Here is a 12,359-nt window from a genome sequence, read left to right on the forward strand (position 1 = left end):
CTGTCTCTGTATGGCCTGGTTTTTCCTAGGTTATAATTGTAGAACAAAGATTATTATAATATTGGAATAAAGAGTAATGCTACAAACTAATGATTAATAATATTCATATATCATCATATCTATAATCTATTTCTAGTATAACTATTCTTATTGTATATATTTTCTTTATTATACTGGAACACCTTGTGCCTTCAGTCTCTTACCTCGGCACCTGGGTGGCTTGCTGCCCACACCTTTCCATTATAAGGTCCATGTTAGATTTTAGGACCCTGAAACCATTTTATGATAATGGGAGCCTCTCTCTCTCTTTATGTGTGTGTGTATATATATGCGTGTGTGTGTGTGTGTGTGTGTGAGAGAGAGAGAGAGAGAGAGAGACAGAGAGAGAGAGGGGTAATTTTTCAGTAAAAATTTTTATAACCTCTTCTGAGTTGCTCTTGGTTAGTACCTAGTATCAGCTGGATGGGATAATAACTAGGGATGCCCTTTGATGGATGGATTCCACATAAGCTACAGCAATCCCCATCTCCCCTACTTCATGTACCAGCCACCCCCACTTTACTATGGAATGCTAGGGTATTACATAGTCGTCTGAGATATAAGTGAGGATCCGTTGCTACAGATCTGAAGAAACCTAAATTCTTGCCTCCTCAGAAGAAAGAATTCGACTGAGGAGCACAAGGCAGAAGAAGAAACCAAGGTAAGTTTCAGAGCAGGAGTGGAAGTTTATGAAAAAGCTTTAGAATAGGAAAGAAAGGGAAGGGAAGGGAAAGGAAGGGAAAGGAAGGGAAGGGAAGGGAAGGGAAGAGAAGGGAAGGGAAGAGAGGGGAAGGGAGGGGAAGGGAGGGGAAGGGAGGGGAAGGGAGGGGAAGGGAGGGGAAGGGAGGGGAAGGGAGGGGAAGGGAGGGGAAGGGAGGGGAAGGGAGGGGAAGGGGCAGATTGGAAGAGGGCCGCGCGGGCGACTTGAGAAATCAAGTGCGCAGCTTGGCCTCTTCACTTGGGGTTTTGTACATTGGCATACGTTTGGGATCTAGAATTTCTCCTTCAATACATCTAGAACTGAGCTTCTTCTCTGACATAAACAAAACACATTAATGTCTTATGTATCATTAAATTAGTTATGTGAATAAGACAGCTGCAGTTACATACCCAGTCTGTGAGTTACAAATTCTATTGTTTTTTCCTGCTATGAATTATACATTTTAAGTAGCTCTGTGCGATGAAATTCAGTGGAAATTACAGGAAGTGATATCTGGTTACAATTGGTTGATTATGAAAGCACCAGGACCTCCTGTTGCTTGAGAGCTATCTAAATTATCTAATAGCCCTGGTGAAGTGACAACATCCATGGCACTCTGGCCAAGTCATGATTACATCATTCTGATTCCTCATTGTTTGCTTCTGCTGGATTTGAAAGGCTAGAGTGACTTTAAATATCTCTATCTCTAATATCTGACTGCACATTACATCTACATAAAATATTTTAGTCTGACCTACCAGGCACTTAATGATTTGCCATCAGCTTCCCCATCACAGTAATCAACATCATCATCATCATCATCATCGTCACTCCCATGATCCTCCTCTTCATCATCATTGCTAATTTTTATTTAGCATGTCTACCAGACACCTTTACAAAATATAATTAATCATCATAACAACCCTACAAGATAAGCTATATTATTGTCCTAATTTTACCAATAGGGGCTTAGTGACATTAACTTAAAAATCTTCCCCCTCTAACCCTACAGACAGTGTGTAGAGGAGTTGAGATGCAAACCCAGGTCAGTCAGCTTTGAAACCTAGAGGTCTTACTAAAAATGCATTAAAACACACAAATAAGTTTTATAAGACATTTATACATCTAGCCAACCTTCAAGCAATAGGAACTAATAGGGGTCATAGAAAATTAATCTTAAAAAATGTAAACTTTTCTTTTTTCCAAGATGGCAGATGGGAGACTGTGTTAGCACACCTCTCCCACTTGGAAAGGCAAAATTGTGTATAGATATTCACACTGTGAATTTTTTCCAAGAAGCAATGCAGGCACTTAATAGGAAAACTGAAGTACACACATTCTTTGAAAGAACTGGCAGGCTGCAGTCTATGCCATGAGCCAGACGAAAGTGTAAGATGAGGGGAGACTGCCTCAAGGATATACTTCCCAACCAGGGAAACTGGAAATACAAACCACAGGGGAAGGCCTTAACCCTACCCAGTGCTGGAACTGATTTAGGGAGCAGTGATGAATATAAATGTAGGAACAGCAGCAGGAAGAGCCTTGGGCGCATTCCCAGTCTCCAGTGCAGATCGAGGGAGGCCCTCCGTTATTCTGCCTCACAGGGGATATTGCAGAAGTCTGCAAACTAACTCAGGCAATGGTTGCAGGTTGAGAAAAGCTCCCAACTGAATTTCATGATATAACCTCAAGTGAGAAAGAACTCCCTTGGCCAGATTTGGGGGTGAGTGGAAAGTGTGCTGCAGCCACAAGCACTGGGAGCTGGGCATCCCGGTTGTATGGGCGGCCTGGGAGGGGCAGGTGTTGAAAGCCAAGGTTCATGTCTTCGTGGGTAAGACTTATGACCTGGGGCAGTTTTGAGTTCTGAGCATAGATAGCCTGAAACTTAGCTTGCTGCTGCTAGTGAAAAACTGTGGATGTGAGATCTGTCTTGCCAAGGGTGTGGGAGCAGAGCGGGGCTTACTGCAGGCTGTTACTCCCCACTCCCTGCACAAACACTTCTGTGCAGCAAAGGCAGATATACTCCTTTCTGGAACATTATCCCAGTGGTCAGAAAACCACCCCCAACTCCCACAAGGGCTACTGCTTGCCCTGCATGCAGAGTCAGAGCACAGACCTGCCAGAAACAGCACCCACCTGGCTCTGCCCCACAACCCACCCTGGTACTTAAAAACAAAGAACAGAAACTTTTGGGAGCTCTATGGCCCTGCTCATTGCCTAAGAAACCAGAGTACTGTCCCTGGGTAACATAAGAGAAGCACAAATCCGCACACTACTACTGCAGCTGGTGCGCTTTTGCAAATGCCATCTCCTGGCTGGAAGCCAACAAATACAGTCCATCACAGCATCTCCATGTATAATAACACTGCACCCAGAAAGAAGAAAACTTGCATGTGACCTCAGCTTATAAACATTGTGTGCATCACCCTGGCTAAGGAGGAGGTGCTGAGTCTGTCCACATGACCTGTTTATTACTACTATAACTGACATTTGAGAAAGCCGACACACTAACATTATCTATAACCAAGGAATTTCACAGAGTCTTAATCATGCCCTTACCACCCCCATCAGAGCTGGTGCTGGTACTCACTGCTGGGAGACATGAGGACAGGTCACATTTCTGAATCTGCTACAGACATTCCACAGTGCCAAGCTGGAGCATGGCAGCCACACTGGGTAGCTAGACCCAAATTAGCAACAGCATTCACAGTAGTCTGGTTATCAGGGACTTCTACTCCTGGAGGAATAGGGAGTGCACCATCTCAAGGGAACACCCCGTGGGACAAAAGAACCTGGATGACAAACCTTAAGTCTCAGATATTTCTGCTGTTGGGAAGTGTCTTTCAGCAGCAGCACAGTTGCAGTGCTGGGCTCAGCAGGGAAAGTCTGTAGCTCTCTCCCAACAGTCAGGCAACTCTAGTGCTTGTGAAGGGTCTTGGAGAAGAGGACTTCTTTTCCCTCTCATCCACCAGCACAGACAAAGTTGGGGCTTTTCCCATGGGAGCTTGGCATGGGTGCACCTATAAACAGCCTCTCTGGAACACTTCAGGGTGACTGCATCCCCACAGAAGGAGCACCCTGCAGGTGCAGGCTTGCACGAGGGCTAGAGTCACGATTCCTCTATACTTGGAATATAACCATTCCTGGAGATGAAAAGAGGAGCCAGTCTGATCTGAATAGATGCAACACTGGGTCATGAGTATGTCTGGGAGGTGGACAGCTTTCCTGCTGGCCTGGCAAGGGAGCTGAGGTAGCTCAAATTCTTCTCTCTGATAAGACCTCAATGCTTTCACTAAGAGCTCCTTCAGCCACCTCTGTCAAGGCTGGGACTTCTGCCCACCATTGGGTATTACATTTACCCACCTGCTTTACTGTCAGCAATTTTTACCTGTGGACACCTCCCCTATTGTCCTGAAGCCTGAACTATTCAACTCAGTAAATAAAATACCGAGGAAAAATAAATAAATAAAAAAGTGCACACCACAGGGGAATGAGATAAGTTTCAAGAGACTTCTGTCATTCCAACCCTATAGAAGACAGTGAATTTGCTCACATGAAGCACATTAACACTAGAATCAGCATCTGAGAAAGCCATCATACAAAGACTCTCTAGAACCAAGGAACACATACAAGTCTTCATCCTGAAAACACCAAGAGCTGAATTAGGCTATAATAAACTATAATCATTAAGTCACATCCCCTAAGGGGGAAAAAGAAATAAAAGAAAACACAGTCAAACCAAAGATAAATGCAAAAACAATTCAAAAAAATAGTTTACCCAAATAAGAAGAAACCAGAAAAATAATTCTGGTAATATGACAAAAAAAATTCTATAGCAACCCCAAAAGATCACACTAGCTCTCAAGCAATGGATCCACACCAAGATGAAATCTTTGAAATACCAGATAAAGTATTCAAAAGGTTGATTATTAAGCTACTCAATGAGATACCAGGGGAAGGGGGAAAATAACATAAAAACATTAAAAAAATACGGGATATGAGTGAAAACATTTCTGAAGAGATGGACATCTTAAAGAAAAGCCAATCAGAACTTCTGGAAATGAAAGACACATTTAAGGAATTACAATATGCAGTTGAAACTTTAAAGAATGGAATAGAACAAGTAGAATACAGAATTTCAGAGCTTGAAGACAAGGCTTTTGAATTAACCCAATCAGACATAAATAAAGAAGAAACAATCAAAGGAAATGAACTATGTCTCCAAGAACTATAGGATTATGTAAAATGGCCAAATCTAAGAAGAAATGGTGTTCCTGATGGAGAAGAGAAAGCAAAAAGCTCAGAAAATTTATTTGTGGAAATAATTGAGAAAAATTTCCCTGGCCTTGCTAGAGATTTAGATATCCAAATACAAAAGCTCAAAGAACTACAAGGAGATTCACTGGAAAAAGGTCGTCACCAAGGCATACAGTCATCAGGCTACCTAAAGTCAACGCAAAGAAAAGAATCCTAAGAGCAGTACGACAAAAGCATCAGGCAACCTATAAAAGAAAACCTACCAGAGTAATAGCAGACTTCTCAGCAAAAAAACCTCACATGCCAGAAGGGAATGGGGTCCTATCTTTAGCCTCCTTAAACAGAATAACCCTCAGCCAAAAATGTTGTAACCAGAAAAACTAAGTTTCTTTTAATTTTTTTTTTGACATGGAGTCTCACTCAGGCTGGAGTGCAGTGGCGCAATCTTGACTCACTGCACCCGCCACCTCCCAGGTTCAAGCGATTCTCATGCCTCAGCCTCCTGAGTAGCTGGGACCACAGGTGCATACCAACACACCCAGCTAATTTTTGTGTTTTTAGTAGAGACAGGGTTTCACTATGTTGGTCAGGCCGGTCTCAAACTCCTGACCTCAAGTGATCTACCTGCCTTGGCCTCCCAAAGTGCTGGGATTACAGGCATGAGCCACTGTGCCCAGTGAAAAACTAAGTTTTATAATTGAAGGAGAAAAAAAGTTATTTTCAGACAAACAAAAGCTGAGGGAATTTGTTACCATCAGACAAATGCTACAAAAAAATGCTAAAAGGAGTTCTAAATCTTAAAACAAAAGCTCAATGTGCACCAAAATGAACCTCTTAAAAGCATAAAATTCACAGGGACTATAAAACAATAACAGAATGAAAAAAATAACAAAGTATCTAGGTAACAATTAACATGATAAATGGAACAGTACTTTATATCTCAATATTAACATTCAACATAAATGTCCCAAATACTCCACTTAAAAATTGCAGATTGTCAGAATGGATTACAAAAAAAGAAAAGTCACAAACCAGACATCTGCTGCCTTCAAGATACTCATCTAACATGTAAGGATTCATATAAACTTAAGGTAAAAGGGGGAATTCAACCTGCATGCCTTTTACTTACCTATCCTCAGGCTAGTTCCTTGAGTGGACAAATGCAAGGCCCTTCCTGCCCTTTCATCTTAAGAATTCAGTGATGGACCCCATTCACTTGGCTTACTCTCAGGGCTGCTTCCTGAGTATAAACATGGCAGGCCTCTTCTTGTGCTTAATCTTCGAAATCCTGCATTTAAATATAGCACCAACTGATAATCTCATCCTGAAAATGTAAGGTGTGAATCTCCCTTGCTTGGTTATGTATTCACCTAGTTCTTTCTTTGCCCCAGAATACTTCCAAAGTGCAATATAGGATGTCTAGAGGTCAATATCTAGATCCCAATTCCTAGTACTACCCAACATACAATGTCTGTAAATGTCAACAATCCTCAGAGCTCAGAGACAAGGAACAATGCATCATAATAAAACAGTGTCACTGTGTCAGCTCTTGAGCATCTGTGGTTTTGCGAGCAGCATGGTTTTGTGCTATGGGGATAGAGATCTTCATGCTCAAAAGTCAAAGATTTACAACCTGATCCAGCTTGCAGAATGTGCAACCTAGAACATGAGCATCAGAGTTGAAAAACCCACTTTAAGTCAGGTTATTCCTTAGGCACACTAAGAACAGATAGAATATCCTATGATGCTGTGGAAAAAAAAACACAAGAAGAAAAATCAGGGACAAGGGAAAGCAGGATAAACAAATGAAAAGTCATTTGACTATATTTTCCCCAGGAGACCATTGGCTCATCACTGTGCTACTGTTTTGTCCTGGCAGCCTTGTGAAACAATCAAAAGAAGAATGACTGACCTGAAATAATACCTCCAACACACAGGGTACAAACAATGCAATTTGTAAACTCAAGCATTCTTGATTCAGGGTATTTTTTTTTGCATTTTTTTCTCTTACACAACAGTTATTTTTGGAGCAAATAGATAGCTTGTTTTGACAGGAAATGGGATCATTACTTTGCCAGCTGATGGTAGTGTTCAAGGTCAATTTCTTTCTGAGTGAAGGAAAGTGAGTCCCTGCAGATGTCCATGTGCTGCTTCAGAGGACTCATAAGTTATGGTGAAATCCCAATCCTGCCAAGCAGACATGCAAACTGTAGAAGTGCACATCTACATCACCCTGGCACTACAATATGGGTATGCTTTTTGATAATACATTTTGTTCTCTCCATAACAGGCAGCAACATAAGTTTCCTCATTCTAACTGTAACAGAAAAAAAGCCTACTTCACATGCTAGGGGTGTAAATATGGTAACAGTAGTTTCAATAATCAATTCAGCATTTCTATGAATTCCCCTATCAGTACTGCAAGACTATCCAGCCCTCCCCTCATAGGCACATCACCAGGATCATCCCACTCCTGGTATTTGGATGGAGAATATTTACTGGAATATTGTATGCTGTGGAAATTACTTCAGTCTAGAGCTGAAACACCACTAGAAGGTGAGTGATTCTGCAACCACCACTCGCTGTGAAGCCAGAGACCAATGTCTGTGCCTAGCAATCTAGGGAGACAATTCCCAAATCTTCATTGCCCTGCCAAGGTCATTCAGGTAAGCAGAACCCACCAGTTTTGACTAATGCTATTGCAACCTTATGGTGTCACTGTTAAAAACAAAGTGGTTTTGGCCGGGCGCGTTGGCTCATGCCTGTAATCCCAGCACTTTGGGAGGCCGAGGCAGGCAGATCAGGAGGTTAGGAGATCAAGACCATCCTGGCTAACACGGTGAAAACCCATCTCTAATAAAAATACAAAAAGTTAGCCGGGCGAGGTGGCAGGCGCCTGTAGTTCCAGCTACTCAGGAGGTTGAGGCAGGAGAATGGCGTGAACCCAGGAGGCAGAGCTTGCAGTGAGCCGAGATCGCGCCACTGCACTCCTGCCTGGGCAACAGAGCGAGACTCCGTCTCAGAACAAACAAACAAACAAACAAAAAACAAAAAACAAAATAAAACAGAAAAACAGTGGTTTCAATAGCCACATATCATTTCTGTAATACAGTAATACCTCTCCTGGTCGAGTTGTGGCTGCTCAGGTTTTATGATTTTGTTTTTGCTTTTTTTGGTTCCTATTGTTGTGGTGGTGATTTTGGAGGTAAGAGGTGGGGAGGGAATGGGAGAATGTGGAGATAAAATGATCTATTTTCTCCCACTGTTACAGTGAGCTGTGACTACTGCATACCATCATAGCCTCCCAACATTATAACCCGTCATTTTACTATTAATATACAGATGCTCCTTTACTTACCATGTGGTTACCTCCCAATAAACTCATCCCAAGTGGAAAATATGGTAAGTTGAAAATTGAATATACCTAACCTACCATACATCACAGTTATCGTAGCTTAGCCTAGCCTGACCTAAATGTGCTCACTTACATTAGCCTATAGTTGGACAAAATCATCTGGCAACACAGTACACTGTAGCGTATCAGTTTTTGATTGTGTGGCTGGCTGGGAGCCACAGCTTGCTGCTGCTGCTCAACCCTATGAGCAGGTGTCATACCACATATTGTTAATCTAAGAAAACATCAAAATTCAATTTCAAAGTACTGAATGTGTATCACTTTTCACCATCATGAAGTCAAAATATAAGTGGAACCAGGCTGGGCGTGGTGGCTCATGCCTGTAATCCCAGCACTTTGGGAGGCCAAGGTGGGTGGATCACGAGGTCAGGAGATCGAGATCATACTGGCTAACACGATGAAACCCCATCTCTACTAAAAATACAAACAATTAGCCAAGCGTGGTGGCGGGCGCCTGTAGTCCCAGCTACTTGGGAGGCTGAGGCAGGAGAATGGCAGGAACCTGGGAGGCGGAGCTTGCAGTGAGCAGAGATCGCACCACTGCACTCTAGCCTGGGCGACAGACCGAGACTCCATCTCAAAATAAGTAAATAAATAAATGAATAAATGGAACCATTACAAGCTGGGGTTTGTCTGTATAGCCATTAATCCCTAAACCATAGCCTGGTACTTGAGTTATTTAGCCACAGGAAGTTTTCAGGTTCAACCTACTTTCCTTAGCACTCCATGCATCACAGACACTGGTTTTCTATTTAGCAAACCCATTTCCTTTTCTTTTATTTCTTTTTGAGACAGAGTCTCACTCTTATATGAGGCTGGCATGAGGTGGCACAGTCACAGATCACTGTAACGTTGACCACCTGGGCTCAAGTGATTCTCCCACCTCAGCTTCCCAAGTAGCTGCTACAACAGACACACACCACCATGCTTGGCTAATTTGTTTATTATTTGTAGAGACAAGATCTTGCTCTGCTGCCCAAAATGGTCCCAAACTTCTGGGCTCCAGCGACACTTCTATCCCTGCCTTCCAAATTGCTGGGATCACAGGAGTGAGCCACTGTACATGCCTCCTTTTCTTATGGACACCTTTCCTGACCCTCATTGCAGCAGATGAGGACACGTAGATAGAAGTGATACAAACCACTTCCAGATCTAACCCATCAATAAATCTCTTGAACTATCATTTGTGACACAGAATACTGTGCACCAGTACCAGTCCTCGAGAGGGGAACGCTATACATAAGTTACCAATGCCAGGGAAGGACTTTAAATGCCTCATCAATTTCTGCACCAGTTCCTAGATCTGGCAGGAAGCTTTGCACAAACTCAGCTAGCAGAGGTTTTGCACAAACCTGGCTGTCAGAGTATGAGTCTAGCGAGACACATCACTTGCATGAATCAGAGAAAGCAAATTTATTATACACAAATGGGCAGCAAGAATAAACAGAGGCCTAGGATCCACAGTGAGCCAGTTCCCCAAGGCTCAGGAAAGCTTCCCAGGGCAAATGAAGTTTTTCTGTGGGTACTCCACTTTATGTCACAGCTGAGGGACCCCAAAAAGCACTCCACTCTGGGTTTTATACCCCAAAGATAACTTGGCTTGTTGAGATCAAGTGTTGCAGGTAGTCCTGTTCTAGGAGAAATGAGGAAAAAGCCTGGGTTGTTCCCATTTCTCCTTATCTTAGGATGCTGCATTCTAGGTACATTTGATCTGAGAACTGCAAGCGATAGTGGGGAGAGCTGTATCAGTCAAGGTTATTCAGGGCCCTGTGCTCTTGAATTCTCCACTTTCTTTCTTTTTTTTTTTTTTTTTTGGTACTTGGAAGATGAAAACCTAGCAGGAGACCTTGAGGCTCTACAAGTTAGCAGTGCTATAAGAAGGAAAAGTCTGGGTCCTGTATCTCTCCATGCAAGATCATCCACCAAACACACACACAACAATTTCATGAGCCAGTACTAGATTTGTGTCATATTAAGCAACTAAGATTTAGGGGTCGGTAGTTAGGCAGTTAACCTTCCTGGAATGATACATCCTATTAGTTTAAGGCCTGATTTAGGCCTTAATTGCCTTAATTATCACTCCAAATTCCTTCCTACTGCTCTCTGAACCAGTTCATTTATAAAAGATTTTCAAGAATGTGGAACCTTGAGAGGGACAGAAGTCAGACACTATATATATATCTTTTCTCAGGAGAATATTTGGCCCCTTTGCCAATTTGACTGCTATGTCTTTCCTAACAAACTCACTCTTTCTTCAAAACCTGTGGGAGCTTGAATTCATACAACCTCTGAAGCTGAACACATCATCAATTACTTGGCAGAAGTAAAGGAAATTCTATCCGAAAGATTGTACTTTAAATTCCAAAAATTACTCCACTTAAAGCTCTGTAATATAAGATATTACAGTAACACACACATATACAGAGAAACAAAGTATAAATAAATGTCAACAAAAATATTAAACTATGATATCAACTTCGCAAAGAATATTGGCATTATCAGACACGTGTCTAATGTTTTTTTTCTTTTTTGAGACGGAGTCTTGCTCTGTCGCCCAGGCTGGAGTGCAGTGGCGCGATCTTGGCTCACTGCAAGCTCCGCCTCCCGGGTTCATACCATTCTCCTGCCTCACCCTCCCGAGTAGCTGGGACCACAGGTGCCGGCCACCACGCCTGGCTAATTTTTTGTATTTTTAGTAGAGACGGGGTTTCACCGTGTTAGCCAGGATGGTCTCGATCTCCTGACCCCGTGATCCACCCGCTTCGGCCTCCCAAAGTGCTGGGATTACAGGCGTGAGCCACCGCGCCCGGCCCGTGTCTAATATTTTTAAATAAATAAAAGTACCAAAAGTATGCCAATGATAAATTACATTAGTTTTCAGCAAATATTTATCTCTCACCCCATCTTCTTGAGAGGAGTGTGTCTATTTATCTCCATCCCATTAATTCTGGACTTGACGATGTGAGTTGCTTTGGCAATACAAAGTGGATTGAAGTGACAGTGTGCCAGTTTCAAACCTAGGTCAGGAGGCATTGTGTGTTTACACCCACCCTTTGCGGGCAATTTGTATTTCTGCCATAATGAGAATATGCCCTAGGTAGCTAGGGCCCCTTTAGTCTGTGTCCCAGAATGAGGCACATGGGAAGAGATGAATTTGACTTGCAACGTGAAGCAGAGCTTCCTCTAGCCACACAAAGGCATCATATTGGCTAGCAATTGTATTGTTCACCTCAATGCTCTTTAAATGTGTTATATGCTATACATGCTATTTTATATGTATAATGGGTGATGATGGTTATGATGATGAGGATGATAAAAGCAAATATCCTCATTTTTGTTAACAGCTAAATTATCTATATGCCTTCCTTAGGGCATAGAATGGGAAACATTTTAGGATGATTGTCTTAAGAAATTAGTCTATCAGTGTCAAAAGCTGTGTAATCAAAAAGGGTGAGAGAAATCCTTTATTTCTGTGTGTTAGTGTCCAAGGAAAGGATGAAAGTTACTATGATTATATCAGCACAAGCTCTGAATTTAGGAGTGAAAATCCCCTATTCCTTAGATAGGACTATTTTAGCTAGTATGATTTTGGAGTGTACAGTTGAAAATCAATGTAAATAAAGAGATTTGTGGCACTCCTGCATTAGTGTTCTGAGAATGAAAAAGTAAGTATACTTCCAATGCTTGCTTAAGATAAATAGAATTTGTGTAAACATGTGTATTCCTAAGTATAGGTTAGTGTATATCTGGACTTTTGTTGTCTCTGAGCTAAGCTACTGTAATATAGCTGAAAATGCTTACTATTTCCTCCCTTAAACAGTTTCAGCTGAGTCTGGTTAGAAACTGCAGAATCAGGGCTACAGTCTAAAAAAAGAATTCTTCTGGAACACTTTCAGTAAAAGGAGGACATTTGATGACCCAATTTTTGCCTACACTGCATTTCTGAGT

At 42.1% G+C, this 12,359-nt stretch overlaps 1 long non-coding RNA gene across 1 annotated transcript in view; it reads right to left on the reverse strand.

The window, feature by feature from the left end:
- LOC101928627 (uncharacterized) overlaps positions 1 to 6,890 on the reverse strand; it is a 74,667-nt gene extending 67,777 nt beyond the window's left edge. The window contains exon 1 of the long non-coding RNA NR_110412.1: positions 6,126 to 6,890. This is a non-coding gene — a long non-coding RNA (uncharacterized LOC101928627). The remainder of the gene's footprint in view (positions 1 to 6,125) is intronic.
- Positions 6,891 to 12,359: the final 5,469 nt, after the last annotated feature.

Source organism: Homo sapiens, chromosome X (genome assembly GCF_000001405.40).
Source record: "Homo sapiens chromosome X, GRCh38.p14 Primary Assembly".
Taxonomy (NCBI): domain Eukaryota; kingdom Metazoa; phylum Chordata; class Mammalia; order Primates; family Hominidae; genus Homo; species Homo sapiens.